This window comes from Homo sapiens, chromosome 19, assembly GCF_000001405.40.
Source record: "Homo sapiens chromosome 19, GRCh38.p14 Primary Assembly".
In the NCBI taxonomy this organism is placed as follows: domain Eukaryota; kingdom Metazoa; phylum Chordata; class Mammalia; order Primates; family Hominidae; genus Homo; species Homo sapiens.
In genome coordinates this window covers 12163037-12190362 of record NC_000019.10, presented here as the reverse complement: position 1 = coordinate 12190362, position 27326 = coordinate 12163037, and the positions used below count along the sequence as shown (strand labels likewise).

Here is a 27326-nt window from a genome sequence, read left to right as displayed (position 1 = left end):
TGCCTCCAAAATCTGACTAATGCGTTCTTCACTTCTGCATTCTAAACTTCCAGGAATTTAGGCTATTGATGCAGTCTACAGGTAACCATGAAAGAAAGAAATTCTGGGCCAGGCACAGTGGCTTATGCCTGTAATCCTAGTGCTTTAAGAGGCTGAGGCTAGAGGGTGACTTGAGGCCAGGAGTTTGAGACCAGTCTGGGCAACATAGCAAGACACCATCTCTACAAAAAAAAAAAAAGATGAAAAACCAAAAATAAAAAGATTAGCTGGGCTTGGTGGCACATACCTATAGTTCCAGCCATTTGGGAGGCTGAGGTCGGAAGGCCACCTGAGCTCCAGAGTTTGAGGTTACAGTGAGCCACAGTCGTGCCACTGCACTCCAGCCTGAGTGACAGAGTGAGACCCTATTTCAGAAAGAAAGAAAGAAATGAAGTCTGAAAAGTTTAGTTCCCATTACCCAGATTGACATGACACAATCCATGAAAGGCATCTCCCATTTTAGATTTTATTATTCTATCATAGCTGTCTCCTTATCCCAAAATCAATTATACAAAGAGCAGCCAGAATAAATAACAAGGAGTAAAGAACAACAGGTTAAAATAATAATTCACGAGACTACAGTCTGTGATAAACTTTACATACTTAGAATTAACAACAACTCTTTAATAGGAAGCAAAATAAAATTATTTGAGCCAAGAAAAAAAAAATGGGCTAGGTGTGATGGCTCACACGTGTAATCCCAGACTTTAGGAGGCTGAGGTGGGTGGATCACTTGAGGTCAGGAGTTCTACCAGCCTGGCCAACATGGTGAAACCCCATCTCTACTAGAAATACAAAAAATTAGCCAGGTGTGGTGGCACATGCCTGTAGTCCCAGCTTCCTAGGAGGCTAAGGTGGGAGAATCACTTGAACCCAGAAGGCAGAGGTTGCAATGAGCCGAGATCATGCCACTGTACTCCAGCTTGGGCAACAGAGCACAGAGCGAGACCCTGTCTCAAAAAGAAAAAAGAAGAAAGAAAAAAGAAAAAAGGAAAAAAAAGGAGCTGTTCCAATAAATATGATGGAATGTATATAATGTGGAAAGGGAATCAAGAACCTGCTAAATGAAGCAAGTAGGTTCATACCAACATTTATTAAGACTTATTTTTCAGTGGTCCTCAATCACAGAACAATTAAGCAACCATATACAATTTAACATACCTGAATATGAGAAACACATTTAAATTCATTGTTGGATTAAACACATTTCAAAATGGAAAGACAAATATTTTATTTACTGACCTAAAACAACACTACCTATGAAATTCATGCACTATTGCTTTCAGATTACTTACAGGATTATATCAATTTAACATTTCTTTGTGAGATTAAGCATTTGAAATCCATAGTCAGAGAACTATTTTAAATATGAGCCACTAATTAACAAAATATACATATAGCTTCTACATTTCCATCAGGTTATGTATTTTCTAGAGACTACATGACCCGCTATGCATGAGGCTTTTTGAAGTACTTACATTTATAGGATTTTGCTGTATTAGAAGTTTTCAAATGACTTTTTTTTTTTTTCTGAGATGAGGTCTTGCTATGTTTTGCACACTGGTCTCAAACTCCTGACCTCAAGTGATCCTCCTGCCTCAGCCTCCCAAAGTGCTGGGATTACAGGTGTGAGCCACCACACCCAGCCAGAGCCAAAACATCTGTTCAAATTCAATACCTCAACTAGTGAGGCCCTGCTGGGATTGAAATCCAGCATCTCCTGTTTGCCAGACAAGTACTTTAACCCACAAAGCCACAGAGCCAGAGCCCTCAAATGACTTTAAAAGTATAATGGAAAACCTTCCTTGTAGTTTTCACATTTATAGTGTTTTGATCCAGGGTACATTCTTACATGTTGTTGAAAGCATGTGGGCTGGCTAAAAACGTGTGGACATTGCTTATATTCAAGAGCTTTCTCTTTTGTGTGTTCTTTCATGGCTTCAAGTGGAACTAAAATGACTAAAGGCTCTCCCACACTCTTTACATTTACCAAGGTTCTCTCCACTACACATTCATGTGTGACAGGGTTGTGTGATGACAAAACCTTTCCTACACCCTTTACCCAGGGTTTCTCTCAAATATGGGTTCCTTTCCAAAAAGCATTTGTTTGGTTTTCTCCATGATGAGTTCTTTCATGTATTTGAAAGGAACTAAAATGATTGAAAGCTTTCCCATGTTACTTACATGTATATGGCTTCTCTCTAGAATTCTTTCATGTATTAAAAAAGGCACTGACAGAATTTCATGCTTTCCCACGTTACTTACATTCATAGGGCTTCTCTTCAGTGAGTATTTTAATGTATCTGACATGAACCCAGAGCATTAAAGGCTTTCCCACATGCATTTATAAGGTGGTCCATCTTCAGCATGTGTTAACATGTGTCTCTGAAAGCTGGCACGGCAAGAATAGGCTTTCCCACATTCCTTGCAATGATAGGGTTTCTGTCCAGTGTGAGTCCTTTCATGTAGTCGAAAGGAACTAGAAGATCTAAAGGCTTTACCACATCGCTTACATTCAAAGGGTTTCTCACCAGTGTGAATCATTTCATGTGTTCGAAAGGAGTTGAGATAACTGAAGGCTTTCCCACATTGCTTACACTCATAGGGTTTCTCTCCAGTATGAGTTCTTTCATGTATTCGAATTGATGTTGAAGAAACGAAAGCTTTACCACAATGTTTACATACATAAGGTTTCTCTCCAGTGTGAGTTCTTTCATGTATTCGAAATGGACTCAGAGAATGAAAGGGTTTCCCACATACCTTACATTTATAAGGTCCTTCTCCAGTATGTTTTATCATGTGTCTTCGCATACTTGGGATACAACTGAATGCTTCCCCACATTCCTTACATTCATAAGGTTTTTCTCCAGTGTGAGTCCTTTCATGTATTTGAAAGGTACTGGCAGATCTAAAGGCTTTACCACATTGTTTACATACGAAGGGTTTCTCACCAGTGTGAATTCTTTCATGTAGTCGAAGGGAGGGGAGATAACTGAAGGCCTTCCCACACTGCTTGCATTCATAAGGTTTCTCTCCAGTATGGGTTCTTTCATGTATTCGTAAGGTTGGGGAACAACTGAAGGCTTTACCACATTGCTTACATTTAAAGGGTTTTTCTCCAGTGTGAATTCTTTCATGCACTTGAAATGAACTCAGAGAATGAAAGGGTTTCCCACATACCTTACATTTATAAGGTCCATCTCCAGTGTGCTTTATCATGTGTCTTCGAACACTTGTGATACAAGTGAAGGCTTTTCCACATTCCTGACATTCATAGGGTTTCTCTCCAGTGTGACTTCTTTCATGTGTTCGAAATCTACTGGGATAATCAAAAGCTTTCCCACACACCTTACATTTATATGGTGTATATCCACTGTGTGTGATGATGTGTCTTCTAATTCTTTTGAGAGAAAAGAAGGTTTTTCCACATTCCTTACAATCATAGAGTTTCTCTCCAGTGTGAATTATCTCATGTGTTCGAAAGGAGTGGTGAGAACTGAAGGGTTTCCAACACTGGTTACGTGTATCTGGCTTCTCTCCATATTCCTGATATTCCTTTGGTTCATGTCCACTGTGATCTTTGATGTGTCTATTAAGGGATGACTGACCCATGCTGACTTCTCCATATACAATGCTTTCACAGAGTTTCACTCCAGGGATTTTCTTGCTCAGATTCTGATTTGCAAACTGGCTAAAAATTCCTCCACGCTGACTACCATCCTTAGTTTGATAGAGTCTTTCTAACATATGACTTCTGTAAAAAATGAGACGGACATTACTAAGGATTTGTTAATCATTTTATATTAATAGCTATTAAACTTGCATTTTCAATATTATCAGGTAAAGCGTAGACTCGATGCCAAGTCTGATTTGTTTGAGCATGAATGAATTCAATGCTCTGCAATGGGCTTGACCGCAACTATCACTCAAACAGTGATATTCTTAAATAGTTTCTTAATTCTGTTGACAAATGAACATTTTTATAAAAACTGAACATCTGTTTACACTGAAGAATATGTATTTGGGGAAAATATTCAAAAAATAAATCAATTTGAAGCTTGGCTTATCAGTTATGTTTGCCTGTTTTTAAAATTTCATGACATGCTAAGGTACTTTCAAGTGAATTTGCTTTCTCTGAGTACAAATTACCTTAGATTTCTCCCTCGGTGTTTGTAGTGATCTTTAATGTTCTGGTCCTTCCATTTTTTCCCTAAAACAGAGACCCAGAAAAATTCTGAATTAGTGCAAAATTATAGAAAAATTATTAGATTCTAGGTTCATGATACCCTGTGACTATGCCTGTTTTAGCCCCCCAAGTACTCTCCCTCCATGATGCAAACCATGGAACAGCATCACTGCACAAGAAGCACTTCTTCTTTAATTGCTAAGTGATGGAAGTATACAATCCTTACCTATAGAGGCCAGATTCCTCATGGTTTCCCACATCACATCTCTGTAGAGATTCTTCTGGGAAGGATCTAGCAAAGCCCACTCCTCCTGGGTGAAGTTCACATCTACATCCTCAAAAGCCACCGAGTCCTGAAACATCCCACATATGTGGAGAGGAGAATGGGTGAGACAGACAGGGCTGGGGAGCTGTACTCAATTCATAAGAAGTTCACATGTTTCAGGGGTCTGCAAACATTTACTCCACTGTTTGGTCATCATACTCACTTCCTTCCACACAGCAACTCTCATACTAGAATGGAACTATCGGGTAGAACAATAGCAGTGTCTGATCATCTTTCTTGGTGGTGGTTGCAAGGAGTAATACGTGCTGCCTGAGTCCCAGCTAATGTCTGCTCATACAGTGGACCTGTAGAACCTGTCATAACGAAGTCCTACCACCTACTATGCAAAAGAGTTTATATTAGCAGTCCTGAGACTGCTTACCCTTAAAAAAAGGCTCCTCACTCCTCACAACATTCATCTGAGGTAGGAGACCAACAGGACTTGTATTCTGATCACAACCCTACTGGCCAAAACAAGATCTGGCACAGGTAGGATAAAGTAAAGAAAGGGGCCAAAACCAGCAGACGACAAGAACAGCGATCTCTAGATGCTCTCACTGCTCATTAGCATAAAACACTCCCACCAATGCTATGACAGCTTACAAATGCCATGGCAATGACCTGAAAGTTATCATTCCTTCCTTAGAAAGTTTTAAATAACCCACCACTTAATTTGCATATAATTGAAAGTGGGTATAAATATAGTTGCCAAGAGACCATATGTTGCTGACTCTGGGTGTACTGCCTATGAGTTAGCACTGATCCACAAAGACCAGTACTGTTAAATAAAACACTGTTATCTAACACCACTGGCCTGCCCTTGAATTCTTCCCTGGGCAAAGCTGGAAACCATCCTGGGATAAGCCCCAATTTTAGGGCGCACCTGTCCTGCATCACATCCATTCCTGGTATCTGGGAAACGGATTTGGGGAAGGAGCCCAATGACCTATGTAAGAGTAGCTCGGTGCCTAAACTCTTTATGGAAAAAATATGAAAATTTCTGGCGTCCCACCTTCTGAGAGTTTGGGAATTTGTTACACGCGCAACACATAGTGCCCACCTGATGAGCCCCCAGAAACACTCCAGGAAGCATTTCGCATGTGTTCTCACAATTGGTTACTGGGAAAATTAAGCCCATCTTCTGTTATTATACTAAGAGAGAATACTTGCAAGCTTGTACCTATCCTGCAGATCAAATATAATTAAGTACTAAATGAGACTAATGAAGGATTTTTTACCTTTTTTTTTTTTTTTTTAGACGGAGTCTGGCTCTCTGTTGCCCAGGCTGGAGCGGCGTGATCTCGGCTCACTGCAAGCTCCGCTTCCCGGGTTCATGCCATTCTCCTGCCTCAGCCTCCTGAGTAGCTGGGACTACAGGCACCTGCCACCACGCCTGACTAATTTTTTGTATTTTTTAGTACAGACAGGGTTTCACCATGTTAGCCAGGATGGTCTCAATCTCCTGACCTCGTGATCTGCCCACCTCGGCCTCCCAAAGTGCTGGGATTACAGGCGTGAGCCACCACACCCAGCCCTCTTTTTTTTTTTGGATGGAGTCTTGCTCTGTCGCCCAGGCTGGAGTGCAGTGGCAGGGTCTTGGGTCACTGCAACCTCTGCCTCCCAGGCTCAAGGGATTATCCCGCCTCAACCTCCCGAGGAGGTGGGAGTACAGGCACGTGCCACCACACCCAGCTAATTTTTGTATGTTTAATAGAGATGGGGTTTCACCATGTTGGCCAGGCTGGACCCAAACTCCTGACCGCAAGTATCTGCCAGCCTTGGCCTCCCGAAGTGCTGGGATTACAGGCGTGAGCCACCACACCCAGCTTGATGAATCTTCACTAAATTGGTGAAAATAAATTGGTGAATTCACCAATTTATCTACCTACTTTCTCATCAAAATGTATCAGTGGCCGGGTGAACTGGCTCACACCTGTAATTCCATCACATTGGGAGGTTGAGGCAGAAGGATTGTTTGAGCCCAGGAATTCAACATCAGTTTAGGCAACACAGTGAGAACCTCCATCTCTACAGAAAAATTTAAAAATTAGCCAGCAGTGGTGGTGCACGCCTGTAGTCCCAGCTACTCAGGAGGCTGAGGTGAGAGGACTGCTTGAGACCAGGAGTATGAGAATGCAGCAAGCTATGATGGGTGCCAATGCACTCCAACCTGGGCAAAAGAGGAAGACCCTGTCTCAAGATAAACATAGATAGATAGATAGATAGATAGATAGATAGATAGATAGATAGATAGATAGATAGATTCAGTTATGTGAAGCCATAATGAAGAGTGATTCTCCCTATTTCTCTGAGCTTTTTCTCCCTGTAGCCTTCTCAAGGCTACACTCTAGGATTCTATTTGAAATCACAAAAAAGGAGCTGGGAGTGGTGGCTCACGCCTAAAATCCCAGCACTTCGGGAGGCCAAGGTAGGAGGATCACTTGAGCTCAGGAGATTGAGACCAGCCTGGGCAACATGGTGAAACCCTATCTCTACAAAAAATTAGCCAGTCGTGTAGCCTGCACCTATGGTTCTAGCTGCTCAGGAGGCTGAGGTGGGAGGATTGCTTGAACCGGGGAGGTGGAGGTTGCAGTGAGACGTGATTGTGCCACTGAACTCCAGCCTGGAGCCAGACTGTGTCTCAAACAAACAAACCAAAAAAAAACAAAACAACAACAACAACAACAAAATCACAAAAAAGAACAGACCTGAGAAACTTACTGCATATATGTTCTGGGGGGAAAAATTAAATACAAATTTTTAACAAATATAAGGGTAGATATTTATTTTTCTGAGATACACCTCTCATCTCTTTGGAAATATTTTAGCCTATCTTTCAAGCTTTAATGGTAAAATACATTTTACATGATGAAGTAAGTAAACAAATCTTCTTAAGGTGACAAAATCAGGGAAGGCCACTCTAACCTGGAACACAGAGAAATCTGACTTAACTGCCCAGTCAGGTCATCCTATCACATGGGACATCCCCCCAACCCCCATCCTGTCACTAAAGTGCTGCTCACCGACCCTTCCCAGAGACAGTGGACTGTGCCCCCACCCCCATGCCTAAGTGCATTTTGCTTTTCAAGTTCTTGCATAACCTGGCAGAGGTGGGTTTTCCTTGTCTTTTGGGATCATTTTTCTCCCTTCAAGTACTCTGAGAGAATCCAGAGGGCAAGAATCATTTTCTGTCTTTCCCCTCAATACTGCCATCCAATTAGCTGACCACTAACATGTCTCCAAAGAATGAAAACTGGGGCTAGAGAAAAACAAGCTGAGTGTCCCAAGAGGTGAGCTTTTCAGAGGAAGAGTAAACCATGTCACTGCTTCTAGGTCCAAGGCATCCAGGGGCTCCCCTGAGGGGCCACATGAGCTGATACTCACTAGACCCTCCAAGAGACATGGAAGCTATGGGCTTCTTGGGGCAGCCCCAGTCAGTTCTGAACCCCAGGACCAGGAAAAGAGAGGACAGGCTGAGGGCAATCAACCCTGCAAAGTTTCCAAAGGGGAACCTCAATGCAAAGGCATTCTGATAAGGGTTTGCACTTAGAGAAGATAAAAGAGAGACACAAAGCTTTTTCACAATGGAGTTTCAGGTGGTTATTCTCTGCTTACCTCTCAGGCGAAAAGGTCACAAACATAAAAGAAATCTTTATAAAACTGTCATCCACTGCCTTCTGCAAAAATGATAAACTTAAAATATGACATCTTTCTCTAATGGAGAAGGAAGGACAAATAGTCAGCTGGGCATGGTGACTCACACCTGTAATTCCAGCACTTTGGGAGGCCAAGGTGGGTAGATCACTTGAGGTCAGGAGTTCGAGACCAGCCTGGCCAACACGGTGAGACCCCATCTCTACTAAAAAACACAAAAAAATGGCCGGGCGCGGTGGCTCACACCTGTAATCCCAGTACTTTGGGAGGCAGAGACAGGCGGATTGCGAGGTCAGGAGATCGAAACCATCCTGGCTAATATGGTGAAACCCTGTCTCTACTAAAAATACAAAGAAATTAGCCGGGCGTAGTGGTGGGTGCCTGTAGTCCCAGCTACTCGGGAGGCTGAAGCAGGAGAATGGTGTGAACCCGGGAGGCGGAGCTTGCAGTGAGCCAAGATCACACCACTGCCCTCCAGCCTGGGCGACTCAGTGAGGCTCTGTCCCCCCCCAAAAAAAATTAGCTGGGCGTGGTGGCAGGTGCCTGTAATCCCACCTACTCAGGAGGCTGAGGCAGGAAAATCGCTTGAATCCAGGAGGCGGACATTGCAGTGAGTGGAGATTGCGCCACTGCATTCCAGCCTCGGCGACAGAATGAGACTCCACCAAAAAAAAAAAAACAAAAACAAATGCAAAAACAAAACAAAACAAAAAAACCAAATAGTTGATAACACTGTGCATCCGAGAACAGAAGCTGGTGTTGGGGACTGCAGAAATTATACCTACAATTTAGCAGTTTGCTGCCAGATCAAGGAGAGTTAGGCCGGGGGTGGATTTGATACCCTGCTTCCCACACATTTGAGCAACTCAGATGAAACAGAATCGGATGCTGATGGCGAGGAGGCCTGGGCCCCTCCAGCCATGTCGGACCCCAGGCCCCTGCACACTTGCCATTTCCCACACTCGCCATTTCCCATCTTCGGGGTCTCCTGGGTCCTCCCTCCGGCTACCACGGCCAGCACAGAGCACAGAGCCAGGGCAGTGGAGCCAGGAGCCAGAAGAAAGGTAATGCAGCCAGCTCAAGAAAAGAAAATTCACCACAAGATCGTACAGGGTGGGGTGAGGTTGGGGGCAGACAGGGCTCTGAGGCGCGCCTGATTGGACAATAAGTAGGATGCCATCCTGGCACCCCTAACTGGATATAACTTCAGGCTCCGCCCCTGTGGCTTAAGGGGCAGAACACTTAAGATGTTTCAACAGGGATCCAACGTGGTTCTAGCACACACCGTATGCAGTGGTGTGCCTTCCTCCAGGTTCCAGATACCCATGTCCAAAGTCAGCATCACATATTACATGCATTAAAATTTTTAACCAATGCAAAAATGACAATAAGCCATACCTATATCTTTACGGGGAATCATTATTGTTAACCTCAAAAAGGCAGGACTGTCTATATTGCTATGCACTATCTACATCCACACTTAAGCAGTTCCTGAAATGGTGCTGAAGATGTATAAGAGGTGGAAATATAAATGACCGATGGTGACATTTCTTCACTCACTGATGTTGCCACCCTCCACAGAGAACATATACACACACCCTCAGCTTCCGTATTATCTCACACCATCATTTACTTTCCTTCAAAGTGCTTATTTCCTTCTTATAAACCAGTCTTACCATTTTTTCAACCCCTCTCCTTTCTCACAAAAATATAAGCACCAGGATTTCAAGAATTTATTCACTTTGTGTTCCCATATCAGAGCCTTCAGTGCCTGCATCATTTGTGCTTAATTCTGGATGTTCTGAGTCTACAGTTCTGGCATATGAGGCATATTGAAAAATTAGCATCAAGAGCATATTATCTGAGCAAGAGAGGCTTGATTAGAATAGTGATCATGTCTCTGTCCCTTGCTAGGTTTATATTCTGACAACTTTCCTAGAGGCATTAGCCTAATTTGACTAATAAGGGAGACTTTTAAAAATTATCAGTAGTTGGCCGGGGGCGGTGGCTCACGCCTGTAATCCCAGCACTTTGGGAGACCGAGGCAGGCAGATCACGAGGTCAGGAGATCAAGACCATCCTGGCTAACATGGTGAAACCCCGTCTCTACTAAAATTACAAAAAAATTAGCCGGGTGTGGTGGCGGGCACCTGTAGTCCCAGCTACTCGGGAGGCTGAGGCAGGAGAATGGTGTGAACCCGGGAGGTGGAGCTTGCAGTGAGCCGAGACTGCGCCACTGCACTCCAGCCCGGGCAACAGAGCCAGACTCTGTCTCAAAAAAAAAAAATTATCAATAGTTAGAATTTATATATTTCAACTGAGGTATCTTATGGGAAGCCATGTCTAATTCATCATAAGAAATATTTCAGTGTTTAGGTAATAAACTTAGCGCCACTCCATCTTTTTTACTTCTGGGTAAGAACTATCATAATAACCAAGGCCAGAAATAACCTTGCTTCTTCATAGTATACAATCCAGAGAAGCTTCTTGCTTTGAATAGCAATCAATACACCTGAAGCAAGCACACGTCCTAGAAGAAATTCTTTTGGGCTGGGTGTGGTGGCTCACGCCTGTAATCCCAGCACTTTGGGAGGCCGAGGCTGGCAGACCACCTGAGGTCAGGAGATCGAGACCACCCTGGCCAACATGGAGGAACCCCGTCTCTATAAAAAATACAAAAATTAACCAGGCATGGTGACCTGTGCCTGTAATCCCAGCTACTCAGGAGGGTGAGGCAGGAGAATAGCTTGAACCTGGAAGGCAGAGGTTGCAGTAAGCCCAGACTGTGCCACTTGCACTCCAGCCTGGCCGACAGAGTGAGACTCCATCTCAAAAAAAAAAGAAAAAAAAAAAAAGAAATTCTTTTGAGCGCTCTCCTATTGATACACCACACAGTCACGTATGGTTTACTATCATATTTATGATGACTTTTTTTTATACCTTCTTTGACAGGAGCTATGGTCCTGATAATCTTTGGAAAAAGGTTAAAAGCTTGATTTAACTTTTGGTATCATAAGTGAATGAGAAATAATTCTTGTGATAAAAACTGTGACTACATGAGCATGAAAATGAAAATTTATGTGAAAAAAACACACCTAAAATTGTATGCACAGAATATTGATTCACAATTTTTCTTTTTTTTTTTTCTTTCTTTCTTTTTTTTCTTTTGTGAGACAGAGTCTCATTCTGCTGCCCAGGCTGGAGTGCAGTGGCATGATCTCGGCTCACTGCAAGCTCCGCCTCCCAGGTTCATGCCATTCTCCTGCCTCAGCCTCCCGAGTAGCAGGGACTATGGGTGCCCGCCACCACGCCCGGCTAATTTTTGCATTTTTAGTAGAGACAGGGTTACACCGTGTTAGCCAGGATGGTCTCGATCTCCTGACCTCATGATCCACCCACCTCAGCCTCCCAAAGTACTGGGATTACAGGCGTGAGCCACCCCTCCCCGCCTGATTCACAATATTTAACAAATAACGCCACAAAATTATAAAGTTTATTATAAAGTTGATCTGATCCATGATTGCAATGGAATTTTTTATATAACTTAGCAGCAAATGAAAAAGACATTAACATTTGTTAGCATACATGCTGTTCGAAACCAGTTAGTAAACTATTTCTAAGAAACATGTCCAAAAATGTTGCTTGAGGAAATAATACATACTATGTTTGATCACATACAATCAAACCTAACTCAGGGATTCAGCTGTGAATAATAGGAAAGACCCACAATCTTCCTGATATGAGGAAGGTGCTTAATCTCACAAAAGAGTTCTGGGTGAAACCAGACACTGCAGAAAGAGTACATAAACAAGTTCCCATGTAGCTGTTTTTGACAGCACCATTGTGGATGTGGATGTCAAACTAAAAAGCTTTTTAGCACAGCAAAGGAAACAATTAACAGAGTGGAAAGGCAGGCAACACACGGAGTGGGAGAAAATACTTGCAAACCATATATCTGATAAGGTGTTAAAATCCAAAATATATAAAGAATTCAAACAGCTCAATAGCAAGAAAACAATCCAATTTAAAACTTTTATTATTTATTTATTTTTGAGATTGAGTCTCACTCTGACACCCACATTGGAGTGCAGTGGCACAATCTTGGCTCACTGCAACCTCTGCCTCCCAGGCTCAAGCCATCCTCCCACCTCAGCTGGGAGTAGCTGGGACCACAGGTACATGCCACAATGCTCAGCTAATTTTTTGTATATTTGGTAGAGATGAGGTTTTGCCATGTTGCCTAGGCTGGTCTCAGACTCCCGAGATCTGGCAATCCACCTGCCTCAGACTCCCAAAGTGCTGAGATTATAGGCATGAGCCACTGGGCCTGGCCTCCAATTTTTCAAATGGGCAAAGGATCTAAACAGACATTTCTGAAAAGAGCAAATATAAATGACAAAGACATTCATGAAAAAATGTTTAACATCTCAAATCATTAGGGAAATGCAAACTAAAACCTCAATGAGACATCACACCTGCGAGAATGACTGTTACCAAAAAGATTTTTCAAAAGTCTGGGTGCGGTGGTTCATGCCTGTAATCCCAGCATTTTGGGAGGCCAAGACAGGTGGATCACGAGGTCAGGAGTTCACGAGCAGCCTAGCCAACATAGTGAAACCCCATCTCCACTAAAAACACAAAAATTAGCTGGGCATGGTGGCATGTGCCTGTAATCCCAGCTACTCAGGAGGCTGAGGCAGGAGAATTGCTTGAACTGGGACCCGGGAGGTAGAGGTTGTAGTGAGCCGAGATCGCGCCACTGCACTTCAGCCTGGGCTACAGAGCGAGACTCCGTCTCAAAACAAAAACAAACAAACAAAAACTTCTATACTTAAGTGGGACGTAGCCCAGAAAAGCAACACTGTTTTCACATTTGAAAATCACAATATTAATAGAATCAGTATCAAAAACATTTGACAAGGGTCAATATCCTTTCAATACCTCTTCCACCATGAAGACATTCAGTAAACTGGAAATGGAAGGGAACTTCCTTAACCTGAAATAAGGTATCCATGAAAACCCCACTATAACATCATACTGATGGTGACACTGAATGTTTCCCCCTAAGATCAAATACAAGACAAGGATGTCTGTTTTTGACACAGCTATTTAACATGCTAAAAGATGCTACCAGGGCAATCAGGCAAGAAAATGAAATAAAAGCATTCCAGATTTTAAAGGGCATACAAACACAGCCTCTGTCTCCCCATCAGACATACAAAATCACTCACACTTTGTCACTGCACATATAGGTGGCCATACCCAGGTAGACACACAAACCCTCAGAGATAACACCTCAGAGACATAAACAGGTGCTTGCAGAGACAAACACAGCCCAGGCCTCTCCACTCCTCCCCAGCTTTCTCTCTCTCCTTAGGACTAAGCACCATCTGACACACTGCATATTCTACTTATATCTTGTTTCTTGTCTCCCACCCTGCTTCAGGCAGATAGGGTTATTTGTTCAGCTCTGTTTAACGCAGCACCCACTAGGAGATCTGTTACAAAAAAGGAGATTAATACTCATGGAAAGGCTGGGCGCAGTGGCTCACGTCTGTAATCCCAGCACTTTGGGAGGCTGAAGCAGATGGATCACCTGAGGTCAGGAGTTTGAGACCAGCCTGGCCAACATGGTGAAAACCCATCTCTACTAAAAATACAAAAATTAGCTGGGTGTGGTGGCAAGCGCCTGTAATCCCAGCTATACGGGAGGCTGAAGCAGGAGAATCGCTTGAATCAAGGAGGCAGAGGTTGCAGTGAGCCGAGATCCCGCCACTGCAGTCCCACCTGGGCAACAAGAGCGAAACTCCATCTCAAAAAAAAAAAAGTACTCATTGAATCAGGAGATCATACACACACAGGGGTTTTACACAAACCTCATCATAGGCCCACATTCACTTGATTTTCAGAGTGAATTCTTTACAACCCATCCCATGTGGCACAGGGGTGTCTCTTAACCTCCAGACCAAAGGTAGGTTTATCCAAATGAGCTGAAAATTTAGGTCCAGGCAAACAATTGTACACAGATGTTTATAGCAGCGTTATTCATAATTTTCAAAATTTGGAAGCAACTGAGATGCCTTACAGTAGACAAATGGATACATAACAGCTACCTCCAGACAATGGAGGTACTAAAAATAAATGAGCTAAAAGGTAGTGGAAGAACCTTAAATGCGTATTACTTTTTAAAAAAAATTTCATGATCACATGCCCGCAAATGCTTATTACTAAGTGGAAGAAACAACTTTGAAAAGACTACATACTGTATGATTCAAACTATGTAACACTGCAGAAAAGACATAATCATAGAACAGTACAAAAATCAGTGGCTGCCAGAAGTCAGGGGGAGAGGGATAAATAGGTGGATGAGAGGGTTTTTAGGACAATCAAACTACTCTGTATTACACCATAACAGAAATGTCACTGTATAGTTGTCAAAACTCACAGAATGTACAACTGCAAGAATAAATTCTAATGTAGGCTAGACTTTGGATGACAATAATGTCTCAAAATAGGTTCAATTGTAACAAATGTACAACTTTGGTGCAGAATGTTGATAGCTGGACGGGTTGTGACTGAGTGGGAATAGGGGGCATAAGGGAACTCTGTACTATGTGTGCAATTTTGCTGTGAACCTAAAACTACTCTAAAAAGTAAAGTATAAGGCCGGGTGTGGTGGCTCACACCTGTAATCCCAGCACTTTGGGAGGCTGAGGCAGGCAGATCACCTGAGGTCAGGAGTTTGAGACGAGCCTGGCCAACATGGCAAAACCCTGTCTCTACTAAAAATACAAAAATTAGCCAGGTGTGATGATGCAGGCCTGTAATCCCAGCTACTCAGGAAGCTGAGGCAGGAGAATCGTTTCAGCCCAGGAGGTGGAGGTTGCGGTGAGCCAAGATAGCATCACTGCACTCCAGCCTGGGTGACAAAGCAAGACTCTGTCCCCCCCAAAAAAAAAAAATCGAAAGAAAACAGAATCTTTCTCTCTGCCCTTCAACTGACCTCCTTTCACTTGCTCTTTTTTCTCTGCAAGGCAGACCATAGAAACCAAAAATACACTCTAATCTACTCTGCCTTTCTGTCTTGGAGCTAGTCAATATGGCGAAACACTGTCTCTATTAAAAATACAAAAAATTAGCTGGGCGTGGTGGCACACGCCTGTAGTCCCAGCTACTCGGGAGGCTGAGGCAGGAGAACAGCTTGAACCGGGAGGCAGAGGGTGCAGTGAGCTGAGATCACACCATTGTACTCCAGCCTGGGCAACAGAGCAAGATTCCGTCTCAAAAAAAAAAAAAAAAAAGAAAGCCATCCTGACTAACATGGTGAAACCCTGTCTCTAGTAAAAATACAAAAAATTAGCTGGGTGTGTTGGTGGGCGCCTGTGGTCCCAGCTACTCGGGAGGCTCAGGCAGGAGAATGGCGTGGACCTGGGAGGCAGAGCTTGCAGTGAGCCGAGATGGTGCCACTGCACTCCAGCCTGGGCAACAGAGCGAGACTCCGTCTCAAAAAAAAAAAGAAAGAAAGAAATTAATGCTTGTTGTTTCAGGCATCCAGTCTGTGGTTATTTATTACAGCAGGCAAAAATGACTAAGATAGGGAGGTTCTTTCTCTAACATACATCGAGGATTTGAAATCTGTAGTAATCAGGAGAGTATGGTATTACCAGAGAGACAGACAGACCAATGAAAAATAGCAAAATCTGAAACAAGAGCATCTATTTAAGGCCCAAGAACCTGTGACAGAGCAGGCACTGTCAGGCAGGGATAGAGATTACAGATACTTCGACACAGGGACAGGGACAAATGGTTATCTACAAGAGAATATTCAACCCTCTGCATATCATCTAAGTGAAAAAAACACACCTTGCTATTCCCCTCACACCACAACTATCAACACAAAAGGCTTCTGTGACCAACTGTGTGGGGATTTCTCCACATCAAAAAGCAAGTAATTGGCCAAATGTGGTGGCTCACGCCTGTAATCTCAGCACTTTGGGAGGCCGAGGCGGGCAGATCACCTGAGGCCAGGAGATTGAGACCAGCCTGACCAACATGGAGAAACCCCATCTCTACTAAAAATAAAAAAGTAGCCAGGTGTGGTAGTGCATGCCTGTAATCCCAGCTACTGGGGAGGCTGAGGCAGGAGAATCACCTGAACCCGAGAGGCAGAGGTTGCAGTGAGCCGAGATCATGCCATTGCACTCCAGCCTGGGCAACAACAGTGAAACTCTGTCTCAAAAAGAAAAAAAAAAGGCAAGTAATCAATTGTGCAGCATATAGCTGCTGGGTGCCTGCCAAACCGATTCGATTATGAAGCTATCTACCTGGGGACAGCAGCAGATGCCACAAGTTGAGGGCTCAGTCCTACGAGACTGACCCCACACATCCGACAGCAGTGGCAAGACCAGGCCTCTGGAACTTCTGACCAACAGGCTTCAAATTGAGGGTCCCATAACACCCTTTTTTGGCTCAATTAACTCGCCAACACAGCTCACAAAATTCGGGAAAACACGTTTACAAGTTTATTATAAAGGCTATTTTAAAGGCTACAAATAAACAGCCAGGTGGAGAAGCATAGGGCAAAGTCTACAAGGGTCCCAAGCACAGGAGCTTCCATTCCGGTAGAGTTACAGTATGACTCGCTCCTGGCATGAGGATGAGTTCTTGATCACCTTCCTATTATAATACAAGACTCCCTGAGTTCAGCTGTCCAGAAGCTCCCCATACCCTATCCTCTTGGGCCTTTTATACAGACATCATTCAATAGGAATGATAAAAGCATGGCGTTTTATACAGACGTCATTCAATAGGAATGATAAAAGTATGGAACACCCCGTAGAACTGCAATTGGACAAAAAGAGTATGGACTAATACTAATAGATTGAGTGGGAAAACCAATAAGGCCTGTCTGCTGACTCTTCTTAGCCTCTGTGCTTCCTTCTTCTAAACACACCAACTAAAACCTCCTGAAGAGAAATTGGGTTAGGTAACACCTTGGACCCCAATAAAGGATTTGGCCCACAATTCCCTCTCTTTCCCTTGCTCCCCACTGACAGGCTGAGGGTATGTGTCACAAATAGTTCCACCTACCTGCTGGCCTACAAGACATGCTACTCTCCTCTCTCCGGGAATTTTTTTGTTTTTTTTTGAGATGGAGTCTGGCTCTGTCGCCAGGCTGGAGTGCAGTGACGCAATCTCGGCTCACTGCAACCTCCGACTCCCTGGTTAAAGTGATTCTCTGGCCTCAGCCTCCCGAGTAGCAGGGATTACAGGCACGCACCATCACACCCAGCTCATTTTTGTATTTTTAGTAGAGACAGGGTTTCGCCATGTTGGCCAGGATGGTCTCGATCTCCTGACCTCGTGATCCGCCTGCCTCAGCCTCCCACAGTACTGGGATTACAGGCGTGAGCCACCACAGCCGGCCTCTGGGATTTATAAGTAATAAACTCCTTCTGTTATTTCCTGTGTTTGTTGAATTGTCTCCTCCGAGTCTCACCTAATTGCCTAACTGACACACCTGACTACTATTTGAACCTAACTACTATCATAATCGGGGCTCTCTTGGTAGGAACAGAGTGGTAGTGTTTATTAGCCACTAATAGATACCGGATTAGTGGCTACTCTAGTCTAGGATTAAACTGACAATGGTCAGACAAGATCTACAAGGTGCCTGCTTGTACAGAGCAAGTATAAACAAGTGTGCTGTGAGAGGGACACCTGGTCATGGGTATAACATCTAGGCATCAGGCCCTCCAACAGAATGAAGAAATATCCCTTGAAAGGCACATTTTAAATATCCTCCAAGAAATCCCCCAGAGCCACACCAGGACAGGGATAAAGTTTTAGCCAGTCTCCAGCTATAAACAAGATCAAATCAGAAAAACACAAACCTCTTAAAAACAAAAGCAGCCAGGCACAGTGGCTCACGTCTGTAATCCCAGCATGTTGGGAGGCCAAGGCAAGTAGATCACTTGAGGTCAGGAACCCTGTCTCTACTAAAACTACAAAAATTAGCCGGGCATGGTGGCTCACACCTGCGATCCCAGCTACTCGGAAGGCTGAAGCACTGGAAACACCTGACGCCAGGAGGCGAAGGCTGCAATGAGCCAACATCATGCCACTGCACTCCAGCCTGGGTGGCAGAGCGAGACTCTGTCTCCAAAAAAAAAAAAAAAAAGAGAGAGAGAGAAAATAAAAAATTTTAAAATTTTAAAAAGTAGCAAACTTTCATAAGTTACAATTTTTTTTCCAACTTGACAGTAGGGAGAGTGTTCTTTATTTAACCTGGGAGCACAGATTCAAGTTGCCCTAAATATACACTCTCTAGAATGTTCTCTTACAAGAAAATTAAGTAGGCCTGAAAGGAAGAGCCAAAGTCAACTCAATTAAAATCAAGAAGAGTACCCTTCCCCACCCTTGATGATGGTGCATGCAGAAGGCGGCCAAAAAAGCCAACAAACAAAAAAATTTAAGAGTCCATCAAAATGTAGAATGGAGTGAAAAGATAAATCACTCCCTGGAACAAAATATTAGCAATCCCTATAAATGAAAAAGAATTAGCCTACAGAGTAAGTTAAAAAAAGAAAAAAGGGAAGAAATGAAGCAATAAATATACAAATGACTTTAATGTGACAAGATGACTGAAAACTATTTTACAGAAGATGAAAGGCCACACAGAAAAAATGCTCAATCCTAGTGTAAAAAGCAACATGTAATCACACAGAGAAAAATAAAGAGAACTACTTATAAGGAGTAAATACACATGCATACATGGTCAGATGGTTAATCCATATATTCCATTGGCATTCCCAAGTCAATCTATCTATAAGCTACATCCCAGGGATTTTTTTTTCCAATGTATAAAAAACTTACAAAGCAGCCAGGTGCGGTGGCACACACCTGTAATCCCAGCACTTTGGGAGGCCGAGGCAGGCAGATCACGAGGTCAAGAGATCAAGACCATCCTGGCCAACATGGTGAAACCCCATCTCTACTAAAAATAAAAAAAATTAGCTGGGTGGGGCCTGGCGCAGTGGCTCATGCCTGTAATCCCAGCACTTTGGGAGGCCAAGGTAAGCAGATCACCTGAGGTCAGGAGTTCAAGACCAGCCTGACCAACATGGAGAAACCCTGTCTCTATTAAAAAAACAAAATTAGCCGGGCGTGGTGGTGCATGCCTATAATCCCAGCTACTCTGGAGGCTGAGGCAGGAGAATCACTTGAACCTGGGAAGCAGAGGTTGCAGTGAGCTGAGATTTTGCCATTGCACTCCAGACTGGGCAACAAGAGTGAAACTCCGTCTCAAAAAAAAAAAAAAAATTAGCTGGGTGTGGTGGCATGTGACTGTAATCCCAGCTACTTGGGAGGCTGAGGCAAGAGAATCACTTGAACCCAGGAGGCAGAGGTTGCAGTGAGCTGAGATCGCGCCACTGCACTCCAGCCTGGCCTGGCGACAGAGCGAGACTCCGTCTCGAAAAAAAAAAAAAAATTTATGAAGCATGGCTGGGCACAGTGGCTCATGCCTATAATCCCAGTGCTGAGCCCAAGGGTTTGAGTGCTGGGCAACATGGCAAGACCCCATCTCTATAAAAAAATACAACCATTAATCAGGCATGTGGCACACGCCTGTAGTCCCAGCTACTTGGGAGGGTGAGATGGAAGGATTGCTTGAGCCTGGGAGGCCAAGGTTGCAGTGAGCTGTGATTGCACCACTGCACTTCAGTCTGGGCAACAGAAGAAGACCTGCCTCAAAAAAAAAAAAAGAAGTTTATGAAGCATTAGCACTTGGAGACAAAAACAACAATTACATTGGCAACAGATAAAATACTAACAACTCAAATCAAGCAGTGGAATGGTTAGTAACCTGGGTGACCCACAGCCTCAGACAGCAGCATGTGTGCAACGGACTGAGGCAAAGAAACCACAAAAGGCCGGGCGCGGTGGCTCACGCCTGTAATCCCAGCACTTTGGGAGGCCAAGGTGGGTGAATCACAAGGTCAGGAGATTGAGACCACCCTGGCTAACACAGCGAAACCCCGTCTCTACTAAAAATACAAAAAAATGGCCGGGCGTGGTGGCTCACGCCTGTAATCCCAGCACTTTGGGAGGCCAAGGTGGGCAGATCACGAGGTCAGGAGATCGAGACCACCCTGGCTAACACAGTGAAACCCCGTCTCTACTAAAAATACAAAAAATTAGCCGGACGTGGTGGCAGGCGCCTGTAGTCCCAGCTACTTGGGAGGCTGAGGCAGGAGAATGGCGTCAACCCGGGAGGCAGAGCTTGCAGTGAGCCGAGATTACGCCACTGCACTCCAGCCTGGGGGACAGAGAGAGACTCTGTCTCAAAAAAAATAAAAATAAAAATAAAAATACAAAAAAATTAGCCGGGTGTGGTGGCGGGCGCCTGTAAGTCCCAGCTACTCGGTAGGCTGAGGCAGGAGAATCGCATGAACCCGGGAGGCTGGGCTTGCAGTGAGCCAAGATCGCTCCATTGCACTCTAGCCTGGGCAACAGAGCGAGAGTCCGTCTCAAAAAAAAAAAAAAAAATTCAGAATCAGTACTGTGGTCACCTCTGGGTACAGAGAAGGAGGATGAAATTAGGGAGACATGCCAGAAATGCCCAAGGCTTATTTGTTTACCTTTACCCACATTCAAAAGTTTACTACACTCTCACTGTGGAGATGTAGCTCAGAGTGGCTTCTCCTAGGCAATGAGTGAGGAATATTTGAGTAATTAGAAAATATAATCCGCAGAGCACTACTCACCCTACTGTCCCCTTCTCAGTGTGGAAATGCTCCCTCCTCCAGGGTCTTAATTCTCACCAGCAACCACTCACCAAGTCGATGTAAGGTTCTGACCTGTGATGTCATTTTTTCTGACAACAAATATGTGGAGACTGCTCAGTATCAACTAACTTTCCAACACCAGCTGGGGATCCAGTAATTCAATTCTGACATCACCTGGCATTAGCCCAGACCCCACAAGTCCAGGGCCCACCCCAGGACACAGCCCCCACTGCAGATGCCAGTCCCGGCCCTGATGTGCTGGGAGGGTGGTACAGCAGGGAGGAGTGGAGGCACCCTTAATTCTAACCAACTGCATAGAAATCCAACAAACGCTCCTCAATTTCAATAATTTGCTAGTACTACTAACAGAACTCAGAAAAACACAAGTTTGCCAGTTTGTTTTAAAGAATGACCCCTATAATCCCAGCACTTTGGGAGGCCAAGGCAGGTGGATCACCTGAGGTCAGGAGTTCGAGACCAGCGTGGCCAACATGGTAAAACCCCATCTCTACTATAAATACAAAAAAATTAGCCGGGCCTGGTGGCAGGCACTTGTGATTCTAGCTACTTGGGCGGCTGAGGCAGGAGAATCGCTTGAACCCGGGAGGTGGAGGTTGCAGGAAGCCGAGATCCTGCCATTGCATTCCAGCCTGGGCAACAAGAGTGAAACTCCATCTCAAAAAAAAAAAGGATGACCCAAGAACAGCCAAATGGAAAAGATATATATGACCAGGGAAGTGGGGGTCCCCTGGAAGGCCCCAGCCCTCTACTTCAACTGTCCTCTGGGAGGAGTCACACAAGGGCCAATATTCACTAGACCCTCCAGGGAAGGGAGTATAGGACCCCCTTCCCTACAGGACTTGAGTACCACCCTCCTAGAACATCACTGCGTTCACCAACCAGGAAGCTCTCCGAATGTCTTCATTCCAGAATTTTTACATTAACAGAACTCAATATCCAGCCTCTCCCCCTTTACTGTGATCAAAAACGGGGCTTGTCGGGGGCGTGGTGGCTCATGCCTGTAATCCCAGCACTTTGGGAGGCTGAGGTAGGCAGATCACCTGAGGTCAGGAATTGGAGACCAGCCTGGCTAATATGGTGAAACCCCGTTTCTACTAAAAATATAAAAAATTAGCCAGGCGTGGTGGTGTGCGCCTATAATCCCAGCTACTTGGGAGGCTGAGGCAGGAGAATCGCTTGAACCCAGGAGGCAGAGATCAGAGTGAGCCGGGATCGCGCCACTGCACTCCAGCTTGGGCAATGAGAGCGAAGCTCCGTCTCACAAAAAAAAAAAAAAAAAAAAAAAAAAAAAAGAAAAAGAAAAGAAAAAAAAATGGGCATTTGTAGTCAGTATCTGGCTTTATTTTTTAAAAAAAGGCCGTGAAGTAATGGAAAAGGTATCTTTGCATGAGTCTGCGTCTGCAAAACAGAAAGAACTGAGTGGTTAACAAGGCAGTGATTTCTATGACCATATCTATTTAACTGGATTATAGGGCTTGAGTAAAACTCAACATTATTAGCAGTTTGGCTTTGCTTTCACAGAATTAGTTTAATTGTAGAATAAACTGTACAAATTGGGAAAGTCTCTGAGGGGCAGACTTAGATGCTTTTGCCTTTTGTACAAAGGTTTTAGGTAGAGACGGGGTGTGGTGGCAGGCACCTGTATTTTTTTTAGTAGAGATGGGGTTTCTCCATGTTGGTCAGGCTGGTCTTGAACTCCTGACCTCAGGTGATCCGCCTGTCTTGGCCTCCCAAAGTGCTGGGATTTCAGGCGTGAGCCACCGCACCCGGTCTTATCTTTTCTTTTTTTTGAGACAAAGTCTGGCAATGTTGCCTAGGCTGGTCTCAAACTGCTGAGCTCAAGCTATCCTCTGGCCTCAGCCTCCCAAAGTGATGGGCTTACAAGCGTGAGCCATGGCATCAGGTCTACAAATGCCCATTCTTTGCTTCATAAAACATTAGCTGAACAGTTTTGTCTTCACTGATCAGTGGGAACAAAACATTTGTTAACCAAACATTCCTTAAATTTGTGTCTCTGACACAGACCATCAAAGATTTGGCTTCATGACTCTTCAATGTACTAGAATGAGATTCTGCTTCTTAGGTGAAAAGCCACAGAACCTACACATATCATGTAGATAATTACTCCAAAATATAGAGAACTACAGATGCAAGCCCTTGACTTGTAAATTTCCTCCAGGCCCTTAACTTTGACCCACTCTCAGCCTGAACAAATAGGCAACACTTCCTAAGAACAGAATAACCTCAGAATAAAACATGTTCTGATCTAGGTCTGATTTTGCACCCTCCATCCTGCCTTCTTCCTCCTCATCTTCTTTCTAATCTGTTTGCCCCTTCCTATGAAAGAAAACACTTTTCTGCCTAAACTTTCAGATCTTTGCAGATCTTATATTTGATTGGTGCCTTCCTTTATGCAGTACTCCTTTGGATTGGCCTCAGTTTGGAGTCGCTGGCCTCAGGCCTCTGCACCCCAGTCAAGGCTACCCACTTCCCTTTACATACCTCATGTGGATATTTAAAGAAAATACCCATGTTTAATGACTCATGTTTGATGAATCCAGCAAAATCAATCTTAATGTTTATGGGAGGGAAGAAAATTAAGGCACATTTACATCATAGCTGAACAGAAAAAGCACAAGAATCTACTATTTTCAGACAAAGATGTCACTTAACTACTATTTCTATGATAACAAATCATTTAGTAAACAAAAATCCTATTAGAGGATTCCTAGTTGTTGCCAGGTCCTGTTCCCTAAGATTTAGAATCTGCTAAGTTCCAATAACAGGAAACAGAACAGTTATTCACCGTCACAAATTCTCCACCTTGCAAGAGAAATTGATGTTTTGGTGAATCTTTGTAATTCCCCAATTTATCTACTAACTTTCTTGGGAAACTATATTCATTTTTCTGAAGCCATAATAGGAGAGTTGGTTCTCCCCACCCCCATTTCTTTTCCCTGATAATATTCTCAAGGTTAAGCCCTGGAATTCCATTTCAAGTCACCCAACAGAACACAGATCTGACAAACATACTACACATATACTACACATGATCTGGGAAAGAATAAAAGAAAATAAGAATTTGTTGTTAAGCAGTTTAAATTTTTTTTCTTTTTTTTTTTGAGACGGAGTCTTGCTCTGTCACCCAGGCTGGAGCACAATAGCATGATCTCAACTCACTGCAACTTCCACTTCCTGGGTTCAAGTGATTCTCCTGCCTCAGCCTCCTGAGTACCTGGGATTATAGGCGCCCACCACCACACCTGGCTAATTTTTGTATTTTTAGCAGAGACGAGTTTTCACCAGGTTGGCCAGGCTGGTCTCAGACTCCTGACCTCAGGTGATCCACCTGCTTCAGCCTCCCAAAGTGCTGGGATTACAGGCGTGAGCCACCGCACCCAGCCAGCAGTTTAAATTTTATTGACCTTCCAGTTTCTTTTAAAAAGTTTAAGGTCACACCGCTAAGTCTGACGTGCTACATACAGATGGTGCAGAATATGAGTATGAAGAGATACACATTGGTCCATGTCCCAAAAGATTACAGAATCATCTCCATAAATACACAAAAGAATTATTGTGAAGACACAAGGGCACTGTCCAGGTTTTCTAAGACACTTTTCTAAGTGACTTGAGGCATAAAATCCACACCACTGTGAACACACACATTGTAGACTTTGTGTCTCTGACACAGACCATCAAAGATTTGGCATCATGACTCTCAAATGTACTGGAATGAGATTCTGCTTCTTAGGTAAAAAGCCACAGCACCTACACATATCATGCAGATAATTACTCCAAAATATGGAGAAATACAGATACAAGCCGTTGAAAATAAGAATTTTTAAAATGTGGAATATAAGACTAATCTCTTTCCCCCTGAAATCTACCTCTTGGGAAATACATTATCTTCTCTATGAAGCTCTACTGATAAAATGCACTTTCAACTAAATGAAATACTCAAGCTGAACTTGTTGTTAAGGCAAGAATCCCAGGGAGAAGCAGTGCTGACCTGGAATACAGACATTCGTCTGACTCCAGTGTCAGCAGAGGTCATCTTATCTATCAGTTGGAACATCCCTCTACCCCCATAGTGCTCACTGAAATGCTCAGTGACCACCCGCCCAAGAGACACTGCATTACGCGACACTGTGTACCCAAAGTGCATTTTGTTTTTCAGGTTATTCCACCACCTCGCTGAGATAGTTTTTCTCCCTTCACAAGGCTGAGAGAATACAAAGGACAGGAATCATTTCCGTCTTTTCCCTTGTCGACCTAAAAAGTAGAGGCTGAAACACAAAATATGACCCAAAGTGTCTGAAAAAGGGGGACAGGATGTGGGCTGATACAAAGTTGTTTGTCAGGAATTCTCACTGATTTACAGAAGTAACATTGATAAGCGCGTGGCTATGCACTGTTAAGCTATAGGGTGTGGGTTCCAGGGTCCCGTGTTGCATTAGTAAGTTGATTATACCTACTTGTGGCAATAGCAGTTTCAAAAGATGAATTCATAGCTTCAGGGAGTTAGAAGGTGATTGCTGTATCACTTGAATGTCTCTATGTGCCCGTTCATTTAAAAGGACCCACATTTATCAGACGAAAATTATTTTTTTGAGGCCGGGTACAGTTACGCCTGTAATCCCAGCACTCTGGGAGGCCAAGGCAGGCGGATCGCGAGGTCAGGAGATCAAGACCATCCTGGCTAACAAGGTGAAACTCCGTCTCTACTAAAAACACAAAAAATTAGCCGGGCGTGGTGGCATGCGCCTGTAGTCCCAGGTACTGGGGAGGCTGAGGCAGGAGAATCGCTTGAATCCGGGAGGCAGAGGTTGCAGTGAGCCGACATCACGCCACTGCACTCCAGCTTGGGCGACAGAGAGACTCCGTCTCAAAAAAAAAAAAAAAAAAAAAAAGTTATCTGGGAGTGGTGGCGCAAAACTGTGGTCCCAACTACAGGGGAGGCTGAGGCAGGAGAATCGCTTGAACCCAGAAGATGGAGGTTGCAGTGAGCCGAGATCACGTCACTGCACTCCAGCCTAGGCGACAGAGCGAGACTCTTTCAAAACACACAAAAAATTTTCTTTTCTCAATCCTCAATACCAGCATCTGATTGGCTGACCACCAGTGTGTCTCCAAAGGATGGAAACTGGGGTTGGGGGAGGAAAAGCTGAGTGCCCCCAGAGGTTGGCTATTTAGAAGCAGGGTATGCTAGATTTATCCTAGTCCCAGGGCATTCTCCCAGCCTTCTATTTCAACTGTCCTCTAGGAAGACTCACCCAAGACCCAATATTCACTAGATCCTCCAAGAGACTTGGCAGCTGTGGGCAGCTTGAGTCAGCCCCAGACAGTTTTGAAACCCAGAACCAGGAAAAAATAAATAGGAGGGGGCGCTGAAGGCATATCACCCTGTAAAGATTCCAAAGGGGAACCTCAACTCAAAGACATTCTGATGAGGTATCTGTGCATAGAGGAGACAAAAGGACAAGCACAAAGGTTTCTTACAGCGGAGTGTCAAGGCTATGAACAGAAAACAAACCTTGATGAAAGAGTAATCCATTGCTTTGTTGAAAAATAAACAATGAAAGCACAATATCTGAAATGTAGAATATAGGAGAAACGGTTGCTAATGTCGTGAATGGAAGGGGAGAGGTTGGCGTTTGGAAAAGCGAAAAGAGAACAGGAAATTTGGGGATTTACTGCAAGCCCTGGAAACAGCAGGCTGGGGGACAGAGTGAGGATTTGGGACCCTGCATCCCATACACTTAGAAAACTCAGGGAAAAACGGGTGTCCTCTGTGGAGAGAAAAGGAACTGGGAACCTCATACACCACAGCTCCTTCCACGCACAAGTCAGGATTTCCCCCACCCCATGACCCTCGCGTGGGCCCCGCACAATCTGAAGAGACTTGGGTCTTCGGGGCCGGGGCCGCAATCGCGGCACAGGGCGGGACGAGGACGCCCGGGGTCCCGGCTGCCGGCCCAGCCCCACCCTGAGGCCGAGGGTACCAAGGGCTGAGCTGCGCCAGAGGGACTCGGTACGCAGACCCAGAGTCGCCCACGGGAAGGCCCGGGCCGCGCCACAGCCAGTTCCGGTCGTCCAACCAGCCCCTCCTCCCTGTCTCGGGACGCAGGGCCCGACACACTCACCATTTCCTGACTCCCGGGTGTCCCAGCTTCCTCCCTCCGGATCCCAAGGCAGGTACAGGAAACCGCGCCACAGAGACTCCAGGCGAGCCACTCTGGGCCTCTGGGACTAGCGAAGCGAAACCAAGTACGGCAGACGCGAGAAATGAAAATCCCGCGAGAAGGTTGAACGT

General features: G+C 44.4%; 1 protein-coding gene across 3 annotated transcripts, besides 1 other annotated feature; it reads right to left on the bottom strand.

The window, feature by feature from the left end:
• ZNF136 (zinc finger protein 136) lies at positions 492–27267 on the bottom strand. Of its 3 annotated transcripts, NM_001348014.2 has the most exons (5): positions 27157–27267; positions 20972–21081; positions 4452–4578; positions 4189–4249; positions 492–3793 (listed from the first exon to the last, which is right to left on the bottom strand). In NM_001348014.2, the coding sequence occupies exons 3-5, from the start codon at positions 4483–4485 to the stop codon at positions 2362–2364; spliced, it is 1527 nt and encodes a 508-aa protein (NP_001334943.1). In that variant the 5' UTR covers positions 4486–4578; positions 20972–21081; positions 27157–27267; the 3' UTR covers positions 492–2361. The 3 variants fall into 3 exon arrangements, with proteins under 3 accessions (NP_001334943.1, NP_003428.1, NP_001334942.1); NM_003437.5 differs by lacking the exon at positions 20972–21081; NM_001348013.2 differs by lacking the exons at positions 4452–4578; positions 20972–21081.
• Positions 27167–27326: an enhancer, noted in NCBI's record as "active region_14046". NCBI's record gives its function as "activates an Ori minimal core promoter by ATAC-STARR-seq in GM12878 lymphoblastoid cells {active_cell/tissue: GM12878}" and the evidence as "EXISTENCE:reporter gene assay evidence [ECO:0000049][PMID:35858748]".